This window comes from Homo sapiens, chromosome 11, assembly GCF_000001405.40.
Source record: "Homo sapiens chromosome 11, GRCh38.p14 Primary Assembly".
Taxonomy (NCBI): domain Eukaryota; kingdom Metazoa; phylum Chordata; class Mammalia; order Primates; family Hominidae; genus Homo; species Homo sapiens.
The window spans coordinates 44,037,817-44,058,833 of NC_000011.10; the positions used below are offsets into that span (position 1 = coordinate 44,037,817).

General features: G+C 45.2%; 1 protein-coding gene across 3 annotated transcripts in view; it reads left to right on the top strand.

Moving 5' to 3' along the window:
- Positions 1-21,017, top strand: part of ACCSL (1-aminocyclopropane-1-carboxylate synthase homolog (inactive) like) — a 138,910-nt gene that overhangs the window by 116,749 nt on the left and 1,144 nt on the right. The window contains exons 5-17 of one of the 3 annotated variants that reach the window (XM_047426927.1): positions 10,180-10,724; positions 12,246-12,305; positions 12,736-12,806; positions 13,519-13,588; positions 13,837-13,903; positions 14,846-14,943; positions 15,175-15,252; positions 15,590-15,690; positions 17,386-17,475; positions 18,224-18,269; positions 18,369-18,510; positions 20,501-20,643; positions 20,730-20,883. In XM_047426927.1, the coding sequence (XP_047282883.1) occupies positions 10,180-10,724; positions 12,246-12,305; positions 12,736-12,806; positions 13,519-13,588; positions 13,837-13,903; positions 14,846-14,943; positions 15,175-15,252; positions 15,590-15,690; positions 17,386-17,475; positions 18,224-18,269; positions 18,369-18,510; positions 20,501-20,643; positions 20,730-20,883 (1,665 nt within the window). Of the gene's footprint in view, positions 1-10,164; positions 10,725-12,198; positions 12,306-12,735; positions 12,807-13,518; positions 13,589-13,836; positions 13,904-14,845; positions 14,944-15,174; positions 15,253-15,589; positions 15,691-17,385; positions 17,476-18,223; positions 18,270-18,368; positions 18,511-20,500; positions 20,644-20,729; positions 20,884-21,017 lie in introns of those variants that run through there. The other 2 variants (NM_001363113.1, NM_001031854.2) reach the window with 2 other exon arrangements.

The window sequence follows — 21,017 nt, forward strand, 5'->3', positions numbered from 1 at the left end:
ACCAGAAGGGGGCCCAGACCTTAGAAAATTGCATTATGGTATTCATCCATCCATGCATCCATCCATCCATCCATCCATCCATCCATCCATCCACTTGGTCATTCATTTATTCATTCACAGACATTATTGAGCTCTTCCATGGGCCAACCACCCTTCTTTGCGTTTGAGAAATATCAGTAAACAAAGCAATTGAAGACCTCTGCCCTCATGGAGTTTACCTTCTAGAGAAGGGGACTGAAAATAAACGATGCATGTAATAAATGAGTACATTATATAGTATGCTTGAAGGGGAAAAGTGCTATAAAAATGAAAGGTGGGATGGAGGAGGGGGAACTGCAGTGTGGTGAGCATGAGGAGCGGGTTGTAGAATTAAATAGGTGGTCATAGCAGGACTCTGGGAGAAGGTGAGCTTTGAGCAAAGCCTTGAAGGAGATGAGGGAGTGAGCCAAGCAGGTATCTGAGGACAGAGTAGCCCAGACGCTGGATTCATGTTAGAGCCAAGACTCTAAAGCACTGCCTACCTGTTGTGTTTTATACAGAGGGCATGAACAAAGTATGTGGGAACATAGGCATGGGTCCCTTTATCTGCCTGAGGAGTTAAGGAGGAAGGCTCCTTGGAGGAGGTGATAAAAGAGCTTAGACTTGAAGTATAAGCAGGAATGCGCAGAGTGGGCAAGCCTCTGACAGGGCTTTCCAGTGGAGAGGCAGCATGTGCAAAGGCCCGGGGGAACAAGAAATCCTGGTGTGCTGGGAGAGTTAAGGAGGCTCAATGATTTGGGTTGTTAGAGGGTAGAGTTAGAGGGTAGAGTGAGGGGGAGAGGAATGCAAAGGATGAGAGTAGGGAGCTAGATGTGACTGATTATTCCAAAGCTCTATTTGCCACACTGAAGAGCTTGCAAATGATGGCTACAGGGCTGAAATCAACGGGCAAAATGACTTTGCTTGGCTGGCCTTACTTTTTAAAAAATTTTGAATGCCTATTGGAGGAATAGGCAGGCTTCCATTAGCCTATGTCCTCCCCAACCTCTCCCTTTTCCTTAAGTCAGCATTGTACTTGTGTCGCCACTGTGTCCCTGAAGGTATTTGAATTTGCAGTCTCTGTAAGGTGAAGGGGAACTGTCAAAGGATCTTGAGCACAGGAAATAGGGGATCAGACTTTTCCATTGGAAAGTTTATTCTGGGGCTCCTTCAAGTCAGGGGATTTATTTCTTCATTTTGATGCTCCCAGGGTCTAAGACAATACTTGGTATCTAATAGGTGCCCGGTGGATTGTTTTTAGTTTTGTTTTTAATGAATGGGGAATGAATAAACAAATGACAGAGGAGATGGGCTCCCAGTGCAGGACAGGATGGGGGATATGTGAGGTCCTGCCCTCTGGGGTAAGGTGCCTGCCCACAGCTAATGCTTCCTTTAGGTGTGGAATCTACTATGGCACTGTCTTTCCAAGAGTCTTCCAGAATCACCTGTCATGCTTGTTTTAAAAAGCAGATTCCTACCACTCAGCCATAAAAAAGGAATGAATTAATGGCAATCACAGCAACCTGAATGGGATTGGAGACTGTTATTCTAAGTGAAGTAACTCAGGAATGGAAAACCAAACATTGTATGTTCTCACTAATAAGTGGGAGCTAAGCTATGAGGATGCAAAAGCATAAAAATGACACAATTGATTTTGGGGACTCGGGGGGAAAGGATGGGAAGGGGGTGAGAGATAAAAGACTATAAATTGAGTTCAGTGTATACTGCTTGGGTGATGGGTGCACCAAAGTCTCACAAATCATCATTAAAGAACTTACTCATGTAACCAAACACAGCCTGTTTCCCAAAAACCTATGGAAATAAAAAATAAATAAAATGCACATTCCTGGGTTCAGTTATACACCTACTGAATTGGAATCCTACTGATGTGGAGCCCAGGCACCTGTGTGTTAAACAAGCTCTCATTAAAGTTTGCAAAGAGGCACAAGGCAGAGTATTCTGGGGCTACAGGCTGCCTTGGCCTTGCTTCTGTGTAGACCCCTAGAGAAAGCAGCACAGCAGCTAGCTGCCCAGGGCAAGCCTGGCAAGCCCACAGCACATAGTCATGGGCGGTTCCACCTGCCCTATCACTTTAGCATATCTGCTCCCGTCTAGTCCTCATACCACCCTCGGGGAGGTAGGTTTCATTACTGCCATCTTTAACAAGGAGAAACTGAAAACCAGAAAGGCTAGGTGGGTTTGCCAAGGCCACACAGGCAGGGGGGCCTGGGCAGATTGGGATCCAGCTCTCCTGGGTCTCCTTCCTGATCTTTCTTGCCAAGTTGTCTTTTCTGCCCTGGGTTAACCCACTTCAGCTTGTTCTCAAATCATGACCTCCTCAGATATGGGGAAAAGTCAGTAGCTCATTTGTGTTTTAATTGGGAGTCCCTTGCTCTAGTAGTTCTCAGTAGTTTGTAAGTATTAGAATCACCTGGTGGTCTTGATAAAGTACGTAGGCCCAGGCCTAGCCTACTTCAAAGAGCCTGGTCCTGTAGCACTTGATTAGTTCTCCAGGTGATGCCAATACCCTCCAAAGTTTGAGAACCGTGGCTTCAATGAGTGGTTCTCCCTGGGTGGGCGTTGCAAAGCCTTTTCTCTGTAATGGGGCAAAGAAAGCCCACTTTAGGTAATAGGGAATTCCTGGGGAAGATCACCCTGGATGGGAAAAGGTGGATCTTATTATTACCTCTAAAGTCACCTTGTGCCTACAAGCAGAACATGCAGGCCACAGTGGTAAACACATTCAGTGAGGAGGGCGGCAGAGCAGGTCCCTGAGTGCTGACAGTCAATGATGGTTTGCTCAGTCAGTTTCTAGGCCAGAGAAAAGAAGAGTGAAAACAGATACAGAGGTAAGTGCTGGTGGCAGGGTAATGTGAGCTGTGGGATGTAGAGTGAGAGAGGTACTTTGGACCCGGTGATGCCTAGGGCTCCTGGGCCTCCAGTGAGGTAGGGTCCCTCATGGACTTAGGTGGCTCATGGATCCCCAAAAGTGAATGCCAAGCTTTGAGAGTATGTGCGCCCTTCCAGGGAGAGGCCTTAAGGAGGAATGTTTATAAGGGCAATGGGGCCTGAGGTTGACCAACTTGGGTTTGAAGCTCCCCTTTCCACGTCCTACTCGTACCATCTTGTGTGATTCATTGAGCCTCTGTTTTCTCACCTGTAAAGTGAGTCTAATGATGGTACCCTCCTAATAGGACTGTTTTGAGAATTAAATAACATAAAATACATAAGGAACCTAGACCAGAGCCTGACTTGAGGCAGTGCTTGAATAATGTTTTAGCTGTCTTTGGTAATATTGTGGTTCAGAGAATTCTATGTCCCCCATGAATAGTTTACGTCATTCATAATCATTCAGGTCATATCTGGGGACCTTGCTAAATTCAATGGACTGTAATGAATTATGTCCTTAACCGTGTCATCTGAAAGTTGGGGATAATTCTTACCTCACAGCAGTTGTTAGGGTTAAGTGAAAATGAAACTACTTGAATGGGTCAGCTAGGTAGTCATTAGGCTCACTTTTTAGCTAAGTGACCAGCCTTTTCTTCCAGATTACTAATTTTCTTTTTAGCTATATCTAATTGCCTGCTAAACCCTTTTGTTGAGGTTTTCCATTTTTGGTCCTTATATTTGAACCTCTAGGATAGGTTGAAAATGCTAGTCTAGTGTTTACCAAAGTCTGACCTATGTGTATATGCAACATAGGCATAGCTGTGTTCCAATAAAACTTTATAAAAACATGAGATGGGCCCCTATTCTACAACTATGTTAAACTCTTGTAGATCTTCCTTTAATTCTCTTGTGTTTTCCAGATGTATAGTAGTAGTCTGTAGATAGTGATAGTTCAAATTCCCTTTTCTGACTCAAATTTCTTACCTTGGCTAATATTCTTGGCTGAGACTGCTGGTACAATGTTAGATATTTAGCAGAGACAATAGGTAGGCCTTATCTTGTTTATGAGAATCCCTCCATTGTTTCCCAATTGTGTAGGAGGCTGGCTTTTTAGCTGAGAGATGTTTCATGTTAAATAGGTACCATTCATTTAAATAAGTTGTCTAAATAAAGAATGGGTGCTGAATTTCGTCAGGTATCTTTTTAGCATCTATAGATATAATTGATTTTTTGAAACTCCCTAGGATCTATTAATGAAAAGTTGATATAAATAATAGTATTAAACTAGTCTTACATTCTCATATAACCCCACTTGGTCATAAGGTTATTTTATGGTGCCATTGGATTCCATTTGCTGAATGCTATTCAGCTTTTAAGATATTGATAATCTACTCATAGGTGAAATTCATCCATAGTTCATTAAACTTCATCAAATCTTTATCACTATTTATTTGACTATAAAGTATGGGGTTTTTCTTCTCTAAAACAATTTAAATAGCATTGGAGTAATATACTCCTTTAAATATATGGTAGAATTCACCTGTGAGACAGTCTGGGCCAGTTACTTTCTTAGGGAGTTAGCTCTTTTCTAACTTCCATGGGAACTGATTTGTTCAGATTTTATTTCTCTTCTGGGATTAGGACTAATAAATTCAGTTTTTATACTAAATTGTCCACTTCATCCAGATTGAAGTGTAGCCATAGAACTATTCAAAATAGTCTTTAGTCCTTATTTCTGTGTACATGCTTTCTCCTGTTATTTTTATTTTTATTTTTTTTTGTAGAGATGAGATCTCACTATGTTGATGAGGGTGGTCTCCAACTCCTCAAGCCATTCTCTTGCCTCAGCCTCCCAAATGTTTGGATTACAAGTGTGAGCCACCATGCCTAGCCTTCCTGGTTGTTTTTTTTTTGTTTGTTTTGTTTGTTTTTTTTGTTTTTTTAGCTTGTCTTTTTTGGAACTAGCTCACTTTTTTCTACTATAAAATAATTATGCAAATATCCTGTGTAAGTATGAGGCCCAACCCCATCCTGGTCTTTCCACTGGAAAGGCTAGCATTTAAAATAAAGTTGTTGACTGGGTGCAGTGGCTCACACCTGTAATCCCAGCACTTTGGGAGGCTGAGGTGGGCAAATCACTTGAGCCCAGGAGATTGAAACTGGCCTGGGCAACAAGGTGAGACCTGGTCTCTACAAAAAATACAACAAAATTAGCTGGGCATGGTGGTGTGTGCCTGTGATACCAGTTACTCGGGATGCTGAGGTGGGAGGATTGCTTGAGCCTGGGAAGTTGAAGCTGCATTGAGCTCTGATTGCACCATTGCACTCCAGTCTCGGTGACAGAGTGAGACCCTGTCTCAAAAATAAACGTATTTAGCTATTTATATTCTAGCAGAGACTTAGTTCGCTATAGCTACATTTTAAATCTATTTAAGTCTGATAAGATTCATAAGTATACCGTTTGAGCTTGGACAAATGGCTATCACCATCTACCTACCACTCCATCAAATAGAGATCACCTCCATTTCCCTAGAAAAGTTCCTTGGGCCCCAGTGCAGTCAGTTTCCTACACGCCTCCCCTGGCAACCACTAGTCTGAGGAATTGGTATTGCCTGTGGAAATACTGATCCTGTGATGGTCACAAGATTCTAAGTGGAGTTATTTTCTTTCAGTACATTGAAAATGACATCCCACTGTCTTCAGGTTTCCACTGTTGATGAAGTTAGCTTTTGATCTGTTATTCCTTGAAAGGTACATTTTTTTCCTGGATTGCTTTTGAGATGTTATCTTTGTCTTGTTTTTTGTAGTTTCACTATATAGTGTAGATTTCCTTATCCCAGTTAGCATTTGGACTTCTTGAATCCATGCTTTGATGTCTAACTATCTAGCACTGAAGATACAGCTTATTCAAATGATTTTTGTCCCATTTTCTCTTCTTTTGGGACTCCAAAAAAATACATCTGTGTGTGTATTAGATTTTTTCATATTCTCTTACTTTCTCTTGTCTTCATGCCTTATTCCAGAAAGCTTCTTCAGCCTCTTCTTCCAGGTTAGTAATTTTATCTTTAGAGGTTTTAAATTTTTGGTCTTTATATTGTAACCTCTGGGGATCTCCTGTTTTCCTTCAAATCTGTTATTTTAATAAATTTTAATTTTCTTTCCATTTTTAAACTTGGATTTTATCTCCTTCAACAGAAAAGCAATTATTTTATAATCTACTCCCAATAGCTGGAGACCAGTTGGTCTTTCTCTTGTCTGTGCTGGTGGTTTTAGGTCATGCTGTTTATTTATGTACCTGATTTTCTATATGCTGGACACAATATTTTAAAAATGCTTTGAGAAATATACTCTATGGTAGCAGCTTCCAGAGTGTTTGCTTACTTCTACCTGGAATTTTGAGTCACCAAAATACGGTATGATTTAACCCAATCTCAGAACTTGAGACTTTCTGGGTATTATGTGACATGAAGCCAGGCTGGAGTTCATGCAAGGACTGGTTTTCTACTAGTTCACTCTGCTTCCTAGGGCTAAAATGGGAGGCTTGGGGTTTAAATCCTGGCTCTAATGTGAGACCCTAGAAGGTACTTATCTTCACTGGGCTTCAGTTTCATCACATTCTTCTCATCTTACATACGGAGAAACTGATGCCCAGACAGGGGAAGTAATTCTTCCAACATCCTACAGTTAGTGAGCAGCAATTATAGAATAGAGCCTAGGCCTGTCAAGGGTACTTCTACTTGAGCTTTCAATTTTGCACCTTGTATTTAGGGATCTATATCCCCAAATAACTTGCTTCCCCTTACATGCACATGAAGACGATTCTGCAATCCCTATCATACTTGCCATACCCAGAAGGAAGAATCTGAATTAGGTGAGAGTACTGAGACACCAGAGGAGGCTGGTGTGTGGCAAGAAGAAGGAAGGCTGGAAGAGTTATAAGGGCTTGTAGGGCACTAGAAAAAGTGATATTAGAAGTATCCTTCTGTAAACAGTATAGCCATGTGCTGGCATCAAAAGTGAACTGCCAGCCTGTTCCCACTTCATTTCCCACATTCATTTCTCCTTCCCAACTTCTGTTCATGATCTGTCTTTCAGCTCTTGTCAAAAGGCTGCTAGCATCTACTGGGCTGATCCTGGGATACTGGTTCTAGCTGCTAGAGAAGGCCCCCGGGTGAATGGAAAGGTAGATGGTGGGAGGCTGACGAATACTGAAACCAATGGTATAGCCAAGGAGACTTGAGGAGAGGATTGGTATACCCCCGGTACCAGACAACTTAGGGCTGAGGAATAGGGGCATTGTTGCCTTTGTGGAATGGTGTCATTTACAATAGACTTTTCCCATAGAAAGATGAGTCTTGGCAGAAGTCCAGCTTCTAGGTTTACTCCTGGCCTTGCTGCATACTCACTTTGTTATCAGAGAACACATTTTTGGGACCATGCATGGTGGCTCCTGCCTACAATCCTAGCACTTAGGGAGGCTGAGGCGAGAGGATCACTTGAGCCCAGGAATTTGAGACCAACCTGGGCAACATGATGAAACCCCATCTCTACAAAAGATACACAAAAATTGGCTGGGTGTGGTGGAATGTGCCTGTAGTCCCAGCTACTCAGGAGGCTGAGGTGGAAGGAACGCTGGAGCCCAGGAGGCAGAGGTTGCAGTGAGCCATGATTGCACCAGTGCACTCCAGCCTGGGCGAGAGAGTGAGATTCTGTCTCAAAAACAAACAACCCCCCCCACAAAAAAACCAAAACATTTTTACCAGGAAAACGCATTACTTTCAGTTACCTGCCTTGGCCCCCATGTTTGCTATATAAATCTGCCCTGGGGGGTTCTCATTCAAACTACTTTAAACAAGTTTCCTCCTCCATTTGCCTACTAGGCCACACTGGCCTCCAGCTTCCCTGCCGCATCCTGGTCCCTATTTCCTATGTGCCTGGAGTCCCCGGCTGAGTGCTTGGTATATGGGGCAGACTAGTGGGACTTTGGTAACAGCAAGGACTTCCATGGCAAGAAGTCTAAGAGCCCCTAATTTAACTGAACTGGAATAACTAAAATTCTGGGACCATGGGCTGAGCTGGCTGATGTTACAGAGCTGTCCAAAGAGCTGTCCCATCTTTGACTTTGTTGTTAAGGTGACACAGGGCAAAGATACTCAATGTGTAATTCCAGTCCTGGGAAAAGGAAGAAGATGCCTGGTGACAATAGCTTCTTGTTCATTGGAGGGAGGTTACCACCCCGATCTTGGCTCTTTCCACTAGCACTCCGCAGGACCAACAGGGATGATAGGCACCACCTTTTGGAAGGCAAAACCAAAGGAATCTCACCTGGCCCTTGCAATGCTCTATGATAATCAAGTATTTGGAAAGATAGTGTGACTTACCTACAGAGTTGAGAGCCCCATTAAAATGAATCTCTTCTAGGACAGGGAATTTGGGCCAGGGCAAAGTTCTTGCTTGTGGAAGAGACGGTTTCTCTAGGCATAAACACTTATATTTGTTCAATTTCTTTCTCATCAGTATGTTCCTAACACTGAATAAAGTTTTTGCATTATGATTAAAGGTTGGGATCGTAAGTCAAGACTTGATACAGCTTTGTTCTGTGGCTTTCTCTGTCTATTGCTCCATCTTCCATGGCCAAAGTCTTCATTTATGGCTCATCTCTTCCCTGACTTGGCAACATCCTTGTGGTTATGCCTCTCCTACTCATTAACTATGTTAGTTGCCCATGTGCCAAGGTACTGTGCTAAGAATGTAATACTGAAGGCTGACCTGGGCAGACACTGAACAAGTAACAATATTAAATGTCACTAAGGTGAGGTATAGGTTGCAATGGGAACATCACAGGCAAACTGAACATGGTTTGAAGAAGTTGGACAGAGTGTTTGGTACTCTGAAGTACTGGTGCCCTAAATTTATAAAAGAAGCAACGAGGTTTTTTTTTGTGTTTGTGTGTGTGTAGGGGGATGTTACTTAGGGGGAAAAACTTGGAATTGTAGCATTTGGTGGAATGGGCATAGGTCTAGATTTTTAGAAAAAAGGGTCTTGATATCTTGGGATATAAGGATTGTCTTAAAGAAGTAGTGGCAGCTGTTGGCCTCAAGCTTTCCTACCTTCTGGGATCTTGCTATCTGATTTATTGATTCTTTGAGGCTTTAAAAGGTATTTTTTGGTCTCGTTCAGTATTTAACTTGTTTTCAAAAGGAAGGTTAATCCTAATCGTTGGAAGTTTGTTGCAGTAAGCCATAATCATGCCACTGCAATTCAGTCTGAGTGATAGAGCAAGACCCAGTCCCTCCAAAAAAAAACAAAAACAAAACAAAACAAAATTGCTAAGTATAGTCCCAGGAACTTGCTAGAAATGAGGATTCTCAGGTCTCACCCCAGACATACTGACTCAAAATTCAGGGGTGAGGTCTCACCATCTGTTTCCTACCACGCCCTCCAGGTGATTCTGATGGACTTCAAAGTTTGAGAGCCATGTACCTAGCCCATAGTTACAAGTGATGGAAGCCTAAGGCAGCTGTCACAGTGAGTAGGTGGAAGGCATTTGCAGGAAGCCAAGTGAGGATAGAGGAACTGAGGAATCTAAAGGCTTTGAGTATCTGGTATGGCCAACCTGGAGAAGAAAAGGCAAAAAGAAGGGCTGATGTTCTTCAACAGGGCTTGGCAAACCTTTTATGTAAAGGGCCAGACAGTTAATATTTTAGGCTTCGTGGACCACATGGTCTCTGTCACGTGGTCTCTGTCATGACTATTAAACTCTGCCATTGTAACACAAAAGCAGCCATAATCAAGACATAAATAAATGAATGGGGCTGTGTTCCAATAAAACTATCTACAAAAATAAGTGGCAGGCCAGATTTGGCCCTCAGGCATTAGTTTATTCTAGCAGAATGTTTTACTCAGTGGGTAGTGATGGTGATTGTTTTTGAGCAGTAGAAACCCTTTTTTCCTATTTAACCAAACAAAGCAGGAAGTGCTCAGGTTGAAGAACGGGGTGGAAAATCCAGAGCCTCCTTGTTCATATCCCCCTGCTCTTCCTCAGAACACATCCTAATGCCATTTAAATAGAGCACTCAGTGTCTAGGCTTGAGGCCATGTACTCATTGCCCTAAAGAGTAGGTAACTCTTCATGAACCAATCTGGTCATATAACCAAGGCATGGAAGTGAGAAGAACAGATCTGAGATCTGTTCTGTCTCCATCCATTCCTGGACCTGAGGGTCCAGGAGATCCTCCTTTGCTCCATTGTCAATGGTCTCTTTCTCCATAGGTGCCAGGCAGCCTTCAGAGGCCAGTAAAGATACCCGGAGTATGAGTCATCGGTCAGACACCCTTCCTGTGCCCTCTGGTCAGAGGAGAGGCCGGGTCCCCAGAGACCACAGCATCTATACCCAGCTGTTGGAGATAACGCTGCACTTGCAGCAGGCCATGACGGAGCACTTCGTGCAGCTGACGAGCAGACAGGGCCTGTCGCTGGAGGAAAGGAGGCACACTGAGGCCATCTGTGAGCATGAAGCCCTTCTGAGTCGCTTAATATGCCGGATGATCAACCTCCTACAGTCTGGGGCCGCGAGTGGCCTGGAGCTCCAAGTGCCTCTTCCTTCTGAGGACTCTAGGGGTGATGTCAGATATGGGCAGAGGGCCCAACTCTCTGGGCAGCCTGATCCAGTTCCCCAACTGAGTGATTGTGAAGCTGCCTTTGTCAACCGCGACCTATCCATCCGTGGGATTGACATCTCTGTCTTTTATCAGTCGAGCTTCCAGGACTACAATGCCTACCAAAAAGATAAATATCATAAGGACAAGAACACCTTGGTGAGAATTTGGGGTGGGGGGTGGGCAGCATCCTCACGGGCTCCAGTCACTTGGATTTACTGAGTCCTGGGCCAAGTGCTATATATGCTCTCATTCTTTATAGCCTTATGAAACGGGCACTCTTGTCATCTTGCAGATAAGGGAATAATTACAGAAATAAAGTGACATGCCCCAGAAAGTTAGAGAACTCCATCCACCCCCACATCCCTCCCTCTCCCTAATCCCAGCTCTTAATTATTAGGAGTTGGCCCCTGTGGTCACAGGGACAAATGAGCCTGCCGTTAAAGAACTTAGCGTAGTGATGAATGGAGTCAGCCACTGGGGCACAGGCATTAATAATCTTCCCAAGAACGTGAAAGGGATGCCCACTTCAGGTGGTCTGGGAAGAGGTCTTAAAGGCTGAATCAGCCAGCCATGTGGTGATGGCCATGGCCATGACCCTCCAGGCAGGAGGAACAGCACACGTGAAACCTTCAAGATGCGAAGGGCTAGGAGTGATTGGGAAAGGAGGTCCAATGGCCAGAGTAGGGACCACTGGTGCTGTGGCAGGAGGTGTGAACAGAGGTGGATGGGAGGTGTTAAGATGTTACCCTAAGAGGCTGGGCGTGGTGGCTCATGCCTGTAATCCCAGCACTTTGGGAGGCCAAGGTTGGTGGATCGCTCAAGTCCAGGAATTCGAGACCAGCCAGGGCAACATGGTGAAACCTCATCTCTACAAAAAATACAAAAACTAGCCAGGCGTGGTGGCACACACCTATAGTCCCAACTATCTGGGAAGCTAAGGTGGGAGGATCACTTGACCCCGGCAGCTGGAGGTTGCAGTGAGCTGAGATCGCGCCACTGCACTCCAGCCTGGGTGACAGAGTGGGACCCTGTCTCAAAAAAAAAAAAAAAAAAAAAAAAAAGGAATGTTACCCTAAGGGCGATGGGGAACTGATGAAAGGCTTCCAGGAAAGGGGGTCCTTAGCAGCTCTCCAGCCAGAGGGTGGAGGGTGACATTAGCTATACCTTCCCCTTCTGTTCCTATCTCTGTTCTCCTCTAATAACTTAGAAGGCCCTAATGTGTAAGGAGAAGTAGCAGAGGTAGGTGCCAGATGGGGCCTTGGGGATTAAGGGTCCAGGCTCAGGCGTCAGGTAGGTAGAGTTCTACTTTTCACCCAAGGTCACATGGCTAGTAGGCTATTCAACTTTTCTAAACTTCACTCTTTAAACTGGATTATATAGAACCTTCTTTTCAGGAATTAAGACAACTCACAAGAAGCACTTGGTCTAGTATCTGGTACATAATAAGAACTCAATGACTGGTCGATAGGACATAACTTATTTATGTGGCTCTAATGGGGAAATTTGCAAGCTGTACTATTTTGGGTTCATGGAAAGCTTTCCTAACGTGTAAAGTTGTCAAATTTGGATTGAATTGCCTCATAGGCAGTGAGATCTCCATTTGAACTAATGTTTCAAGGGATCTATGTAGGGTGGAGCAAGAGGACTGACCTGATCTTGGATTCCTTCCATCTCCAGGGTTTCATTAACCTTGGCACCAGTGAGAACAAGCTCTGCATGGATCTGATGACTGAAAGAGTAAGGATGTTCTGGGCTGTGTTGGGACCCACCCCTTCAAGGCTTAGTCCCCCTAGCGTGCTCCTGAGCTATGGTAGATACAGGGGTGAGACATAGGAGCCTGGGAAGAGGAGTGAAGAAATAGCTTCTAGAATAGCACATTTAACCTCCTGGCTTTGCTGACTGTCCAGAGATATTCTCTGATTAGGTATATGGTGGGAAAGTTGCTATGGGAACCTCTGGGTCAAATACTTCCCAGTGAGGTATCTACTTGTGTAATTTATGACAAGATGGTAGCCTCCATTCATTAAGGAGCATGCAGTGTATATACCCATTCCCTTTCTAGGAGGTCATGTATGTGGAGGGCAAACACTCATGTACAAACTAGGAGTAGAATGAGGCCTCTTGAACTTCCCTGGCCTACCTGTCTTCATGTTCTATTTGTCAACAGTTGCAAGAAAGTGACATGAACTGCATTGAGGACACCTTGCTTCAGTACCCTGATTGGAGAGGGCAGCCATTGTAAGTGACCTTCAGATTTAGAGTCTCTTGGTCCCACAGGCAGCTGTCCTTATCCAGAAGGAGGATTCAAGGCACCAAATTCCTGGTTGGTTACCTCCCTATCTCTTTGGGTAATAACTTCTAGAAAATGCCTAGAGCAAAACTTCATCAGGAGGCAGCCTGGTATAGTAGGAATAGTTATTCTGGTATAGTAGGAATAATTCAAAAGGCCTGAGTTCTTTTTTTTTTTTTTTTTTTGAGATGGAGTCTCACTCTGTCACCCAGACTGGAGTGCAGTGGTGCTATCTCAGCTCACTGCAGGCTCTGCCCCCTGGGTTCAGGCCATTCTCCTGCCTCAGCCTCCCGAGTAGCTGGGACTACAGGTGCCCGCCACCACGCCCAGCTAATTTTTTGTATTTTTAGTAGAGACGGGGTTTCACCATGTTTGCCAGCTTGGTCTTGATCTCCTGACCTTGTGATCCACCCGCCTTGGCCTCCCAAAGTGCTGGGATTACAGGCATGAGCCACTGTGCCCGGCCAAGGCCTAAGTTCTTGTCCCAACTCTCATTTATTGTCTGTGTGACTTGGGGAGTTGATGGTCTTAGTCAGTAGCCCTGTAATATGAGGTTGGACTGAGTAGAAAAGGTCCCTGTTAGGCTGGACAATGACCATCTAGACCATGAGTGAGGAAAGGGGCCCGGAAGCCACAAGGTCTCTCTGGGTCTGTTTACAGCCTGCGGGAAGAAGTGGCCCGGTTCCTGACCTACTACTGCAGGGCACCTACCCGACTTGACCCAGAAAATGTGAGTCAGTTTCCCAGCCTTGCTGCCACCCTGGTGGAGGGCTATATTCTTGGAGGATGCTCTGCCCTTTCTAGGGGGTACAAGGAGAACCAGTGAAGACTCTCAGGGCCAGGGCAGCATGAAGGCCAATGTGTCCCAACTGAGGAGGCTCCCTGTGCCTGTTCTGCCCAGGGGGATGGAGAAAGCATGGCTACCCCTTCTCACATAGGTATTGGTTTTGACTTCTGCCTCTCATGTGTTGTCTTCAGGTGGTGGTTCTAAATGGCTGCTGCTCTGTCTTCTGTGCCCTGGCCATGGTTCTGTGTGATCCAGGCGGTAAGTCAGTGGGCTCTCCTTTCACTCTCAGTGAAATACTAGCAACACAGGTAGGAACACACGGGCACTGGACTTTGAGGAAGAAGAGCATCCTGACTCAAGGCCTTTTCCCCAAAGTGGTGGGCCTTCTCCCACACTGACTAGGTTATCTTCCTATTTCTGTGGGAACAAGGGGTTTGGATTCTCCATTTAAGGGAAGAGAGACATGGTGGACCTCAAGGAGGTATGCCCCAGGAATGATGATGGGAGCCTACCTACTATGTTCATGGCTGGGCTTTTGGGCTCAGCTGCAATACAGACAGCCATGGCAATGGACTCAGACAATATAGATTTCTTATCTCTTCAGAAAAAGGCTAATTAGTCCTGGACCCAACAAGGTTGAGTGGACTGTTCTGAACCTCCCCGGTAACAATGCTTAAGCAAGAGGCTCCAATGTTAAAGAGCTCTGGATGCATCAAAAGAAGTGCTAAGATAGTCCCTTTCCTGCAAAGGAGCTTCTCTCAGCTCATCAGTAAGGCCAAATGGATGGGAAGAAAAGAACGTGAGATCACCATGTCCAAATAACTGGAGCCCTCCTTGTGCATGGACCTTGACCTCTGATATTTGGCCTGAATCTGTTGAGACTTTCCTGATAACCATTGCTCCATCTGCTAGTGAGCCTCGCTTGACTTGTGCCCTGGATTCTGAGTTACTCAGTGATATTCTTCCCTCTTCTTCTCTAGTGTACCCGCAAAGAAGAAACTAGAGTTTTGTTTCCCCCAGTGATGTCTATAATAATGGATAACTTTCATAGCACCTGAACCTAAGAACATTAATCCCCAGGTAGAAAGGATCGTGAAACTGACTTTTTTTCTGTCGATAGCTTTGCTAGTTTGGGGAGCCTGGCAACAGGCTCTGATTGGGAGACTTTGGACTGATAGCTCTGTCTCTCTGTGTTTCCAGAGGCCTTCCTGGTCCCTGCTCCCTTCTATGGTGGCTTTGCCTTTAGCTCCCGCCTGTATGCAAAGGTTGAGTTGATTCCTGTCCACCTGGAGAGTGAGGTCTGAATGGGGCCCCTTCCCTGCTCAGTATGCCTAGACAATGGACTGTTCTGGGGACACCTAAAGGGGTAGAGGGGCTTGCTTTCTACCCATCTAAGTGGTTGGGTAGGGGTGGAGAAGGCATGTGGACTGGCACTCTGGTATGAAGGCAAAGGATTGCGGGGCTTATGGGAATGAGGAATCAAGACTTAGATTTTAAGAGACACTTCTCACATAGTGTTTCTCTTCCAGGTCACTGTTACAAACACCCATCCTTTCCAGCTCACTGTGGACAAGTTAGAGGAAGCCCTGCTTGAAGCTAGGCTTGAGGTAAGGTGGGAACCATATTTTTAGGATGGCCACTGCTGGTCCTAAAAGGGGTTTGAGTATTGAAATTCTGGTACTGCTTATTCACCAAGACCTGGTGGGCTGTCCTTAGTTGGAAGAGACAGTAAATGATCCAGGGGTGTGTCCCTCTAGTCCTGTGGGGATGTTATGGCAGCCCCAGACTTCCTTCCTGTTTCCCCTCTTTGGGCAGTATAGTAGTTGCTGCTTCAAGACCCTACCTAGGCCTTTTTGGGTGCCTAACCTATAAAAGATCCTTGGCTGAATTTAGGGTAGATGCTAAGGACTTGTATTCACTCAGTTATATTTGGGTTTTTCTTAGGGGAAAAAGGTCCGAGGCCTTGTGCTAATCAACCCTCAGAATCCTCTGGGTGACATCTACTCCCCAGACTCACTGATGAAATACCTGGAATTTGCCAAGAGGTATGAGTTCTACCCCTTGAGACTAGGTAATGTTTCTTGAAAGGATTCCCATCACTTATAGTCAAGTAATCAAGAGCCAGATCTGGTGGCACATGCCTGTAATCCCAGCACTTTGGGAGGCCGAGAAGGTGGATCACTTGAGGTCAGGAGTTCGAGACCAGCATGGCCAACAGGGTGAAACCTTGTCTCTACTAAAAATACAAAAATTAACCAGGCATCATGGTGGGCACCTACTATCCCAGCTACTTGGGAGGCTGAGACATGAGAATTGCTTGAGCCCGGGAGGAGGAGGTTGCAGTGAGCCGAGATCATGCCACTGTACTCCAGCCTAGGCAATAGAGTGAGACTTTGTCTCAAAAAGTAATTTACCCTAAATGGTCTCACTATACACCATACTTTGCAGAGTTATGTAAAACTAACTGAAATTAAAATGAAGGAAAACGCAATCACATGCTTACCACTTCAAATTTTTTGCCATTTCCTTTCTAGCCTCAGCCTATGTATTGACATTTATATAACAGTCAAAATATAGTTTTGTTTTCTGAGAAATATGTCACTTAAAAATATATAATTTGTTACTTCTCTACTTAAGCTTAAGTACTTTCTCCCAGCATCCATTTCCGAAGCCACTTGGGCTGGAGTGCCGAGGAAGACACTTTCAGACCTTGTGGGATGAAGACGTGTTCCTATAGAACTTCACATTCCTTTCTAAGAGCACGTTCTAGAAATTATAACCTTCCATTTTCCATAAGAAACAGACTTAGTCAAACTTCATGACTAACACAGACCAATGAATGGTGCAGTGTGTGGTCAGGAGGAAAAATGCTAGAGGGGGTAGGCAAGAATTGGATAGAATGGGTTCACTTCCCAGCTATAGCAGCTGCTAATTGAGGGAATTGACTTTACAGCTCAGAACCTTAGTTTCTTTTTTTCTTTCTTTCTTTTTTTTTTTTGTTTTTTGTTTTTTTGAGATGGAGTCTCGCTCTGTCACCCAGGCTGGAGTGCAGTGGTGGGATCTCAGCTCACTGCAACATTTGTCTCCTGGGTTCAAGCAATTCTCCTGCCTCAGCCTCCTGAGTAGCTACAACTGCAGGCATGCGCCAACATACCCAGCTAATTTTTGTATTTTTAGTAGAGACAGGGTTCCACGATGTTGGCCAGGCTGGTCTTGAACTCCTGACCTCATGATCCACCCACCTCGGCCTCCCAAAGTGCTGGGATTACAGGCCTGAACCACCATGCCCGGCCCGCCTTAGTTTCTTCATCTAAAATGGAGATGACAGTACTGAGGGTTGTTGGGAGAATGAATGAGGCACATAAGCAGTTAGGAGCTCCTGACTCTACCAGTTAAAAATTCTCTGGGCTACCCAACCTCTTCCCATAGTCTCTGCTTGATGGTTGAATGGTTAGCTAAGGTTAGACAAGATGTTCTCATATGTGTCTTTTGCATCCTATTCCTTCCCATTACCCCCAAGCTAGGTCTAAGGGTCCCTTCTGATGTACCACCCCATCTACCTTACTATGCCCCTTGGAGGGTCAGATGGGCTGCTGGGGCAGTAGGAGTGCATGATCTGTGTCCAGAGAACACCATAAAAGACATGACTTAAGATTACAAAGATGCTTGTAAAAAGCATGCAAAGAAAAAAGATTAGAGAGAAGCTAGATCTTGTTCTCCTTCTTTCATCTAATCTACAGGTATAACCTACATGTGATCATAGATGAGATTTACATGCTGTCTGTGTTTGATGAATCCATCACATTCCACAGCATTCTGAGCATGAAAAGGTGAGCTGGTCTCAGCTGGAGTTGGGAACGAGAACCACAAGGTTCTTGTTTTGCAGGGTGAGTTTATGTGACATGAACTTAACTCAGTTCCTAGCACATAGCCAGTTAACTGCCCACAGGGCCTGTGAATACAAACAAAGCATCATCTTTCCCTCTAAATGTCTTCTAGTCTATATGCCATTTTGTGTAGAAGATAATTTGAGGTCAAGGTAGAAAGTCTACTGTCAAAGGTCAAAATAAAGCCTCATAAAATGCCAGGGTAGGAGATTCTTGATAAGTAGAGCACAGGGAAAGAAAAAGGAGGCAGAACCTTCTGAAGGGTAGTATCTGGCCATAGAGATGGGATTCCAGCATTCAAAGCAAGGGAAGGAAATGCCTGGCAGAAGGAATAGCTTCACCAAAGGTGGAGCAGTAGGAAATACTCGGGCACGTTCTAGAAATTATGGTGACCCACATCTGAAGAGCCAACTGCCAGGAAAGTGGCTTTGGCCAAGCTGTAGGAGAGCCACATGTCAGGCTGAAGGCCCTAGACTTCATTCAGTGGGCACTTGGGTTCTGTGCCCTCTAGGTCTTCAGGAATACCTTGTGTTGACTTCCTGGCTTAACTGGGACAACTGTTTCTTGAGCTTTGGGCCCTATAGGCCCTTCTGTCTAGGACCAACCTCAAATCTACTTTCCCCTCTTATACCCCAAATCTTCATCAACTATTTCTCTATAACCTTAGTTAATTTTTCCACTTCTTCTTCAGTTTGCCTGATAGCAACAGGACCCATGTGATCTGGGGTACCAGTAAGGTGAGCCATTGCTTTCTCTCCTTGGCTAGGGAAGGAGGAGGAGCCAGGAATAGAAGGCAGACAAAACACTTGTTCCTGTTCCTGCTTTTCTTCCTCTAGGATTTTGGCATCTCTGGCTTCCGCTTTGGTGCTCTGTATACCCACAACAAGGAGGTGGCCTCTGCTGTGAGTGCCTTTGGCTACCTCCACAGTATTTCTGGCATCACCCAGCACAAGCTGTGTCAACTGCTCCAGAACACAGGTACTGAGCTCTAGCACAGACCAGCATGTTGGCTGGACCTCATGGCCATGGGGAATTCTTGGATTTGCTTGGGCCTCTGATGTGCCCTTAATATACTGAGACCCTATTTCCTGTCTCAGATTTAACTGTGGTAAGATGTGAGGTTTGAAGGAGGGCAAGATAGGGCAGATAACACAGCAGGGTGTAGGCAGAAGATGGAGGTGCTGTTTTAAAATACAGGATGAGGCCGGGCATGGTGGCTCACGCCTGTAATCCCAGCACTTTGGGAGGCCGAGGTGGGCGGATCACTTGAGGCCAGGAGTTTGAGACCAGCCTGGCCAACAAGGTGAAACCCGGTCTCTACTAAAAATGCAAAATTAGCCAGGCATGCTGGCAAACGCCTGTAATCCCAGCTACTTCGGGGGCTGAGGCAGGAGAATCTCCTGAACCCAGGAGGCAGAGATTGCAGTGAGCCAAGACAGCGCCATTGACTCCAGTCTGGGTAGAAAAAGTGAAACTCTGTCTCAAAAAACAAAAACAAAAAACTACAGGATGAGCTTTAATTTCTGGATGTCTGGTAGCTTGTGTTCTACCCAGATGTGGGATGGCTAATCGTACTCTAAGTTGTGAAGGTAGGAACTTCAGAAATTAGTCTTTATGTGAATATAGATTTTCCCTCCCCAAAACTCTGTTTGCTTTAGACAAAGATTATAAAACCAAAAACAACACAAACACTCTGATTCTTCTAATACAACATAATCTCATCTTCCAAGGTGGCCAGAGGAGAGCTGCCATTTGGGCAGGTTGGTGTGGCTAGGCCTGTGGTACCTAGATTCATCGTCCCCTTGCTTGGATCTCAAGTGAATGCTGGCCTCAGAAGGGACTTTCCCCTTTAAAGCCATGGCCCAAGCTTAGAGACTCACTTTCTTTAGTTCCCTGTAATAGAACAGATACCAAGCTGAAAGTTTTAATTAATAGCTGGGATATAATGAAACAAACTGATGTCATTATATTTGCTGATTTAGAAAACAATTTGCTTTCAGCTCTGGGAGGGGAGAGAGGTAGATAGGAGAAATCCAACTGAATGCTTCCCTAGATATCAAGACCTTTGATACTTGGCAGAAACCAGATCCCAGCCCCTTGAACGCTAGTCCTCAATCTTGGATGGACGTGGGAGTTTCCCAGGGAGCTTAAATACTGACGTGTGTTCCATCTTCAAAGATCCTGATATAGCCTGAGCATCAGGGCTTCTAACAGCTCCCCAAGTGGTTCTGTTCTATGAATGCAGAGGGCAACTGGCCAAGAGCATCCCCAGGCACACATATATTCCTCCGACTCCATTGTATGAGGCTCAAATTCGGGTGGTAGGAGCTGCGAGTCCCTGCTGCTTGCCCAGTTAACAACAACAGCATCAACCCCTATTAGGGGATTGACTCCTTGCCTCAGGGCTGTGAACTCAAAGAGAACTTTCCTACTAGACCTTTGAGAAGCCCAGTGTCTCTACCAGAGCCTTAGATAAGAGGTGGGTGTATCAGGTGTGGACACCATCAGCTCAAACATACTAGAGTTAGTCTTAGAAATAGCTTGCAGGGTGCAGTGGCTAACACCTAAAATCCCAGCACTTTGGGAGGCAGAGGCAGGTGGATCACTTGAGGCCAGGAGTTTGAGACCAGCCTGGCCAACATGGTGAAACCCCATCTCTACTAAAAATACAAAAATAAGCTGGGTGTGGTGGCGTACGCCTGTAGTGCCAGTTACTTGGAAGGCTGAGACATGAGAATCACTTGAGCCAAGGAGGTGGAGATTGCAGTGTGCCGAGATTGTGCCACTGCACTCCAGCCTGGGTGACAGAGGGAAACTCTGGTTTTTTTGTTTTTTTTAAAAACAGACAAACAAAACAAAAACAAACAAACAAACTTGCATGAAGCCCAGGAAGGGAGCATTTGGGAAGGAACTCTCGGTAGATTTCTGTAGTAATATCTGTGACAGTGTTTTTCCTCTACCCATCCAGAATGGATTGACAAAGTATACCTACCCACCAATTGCTACCGGCTCCGGGAAGCTCACAAGTACATCACTGCTGAGCTGAAGGCATTGGAGATCCCTTTTCACAACCGCAGCTCTGGCCTCTATGTCTGGATCAACTTGAAAAAGGTGTGTTCTGGGAATGAGGACAGGTGTTCTTGGGCAGACCTGCCAGCTGGGTCTTGGGCTCAGTTCTGTTCCTCTGCCCTCCCTAGTACCTGGATCCCTGTACATTTGAAGAAGAACGGCTCCTCTATTGCCGCTTCCTGGACAACAAGCTATTGTTATCCCGTGGCAAAACCTACATGTGTAAGGAGCCAGGCTGGTTCTGCCTCATCTTTGCAGATGAGCTCCCCCGGCTAAAATTGGGTGAGTGGAGCTGACCTCCCAATCCTTTAAAGACGCCCCATCAATTTAATATGTCAATCTTCTCCCCCACCCCCCTTAAACATCCTATAGATCTAGCCCTTTATTCCCTGTTTCCATGTCTATCTTTAGTTAGG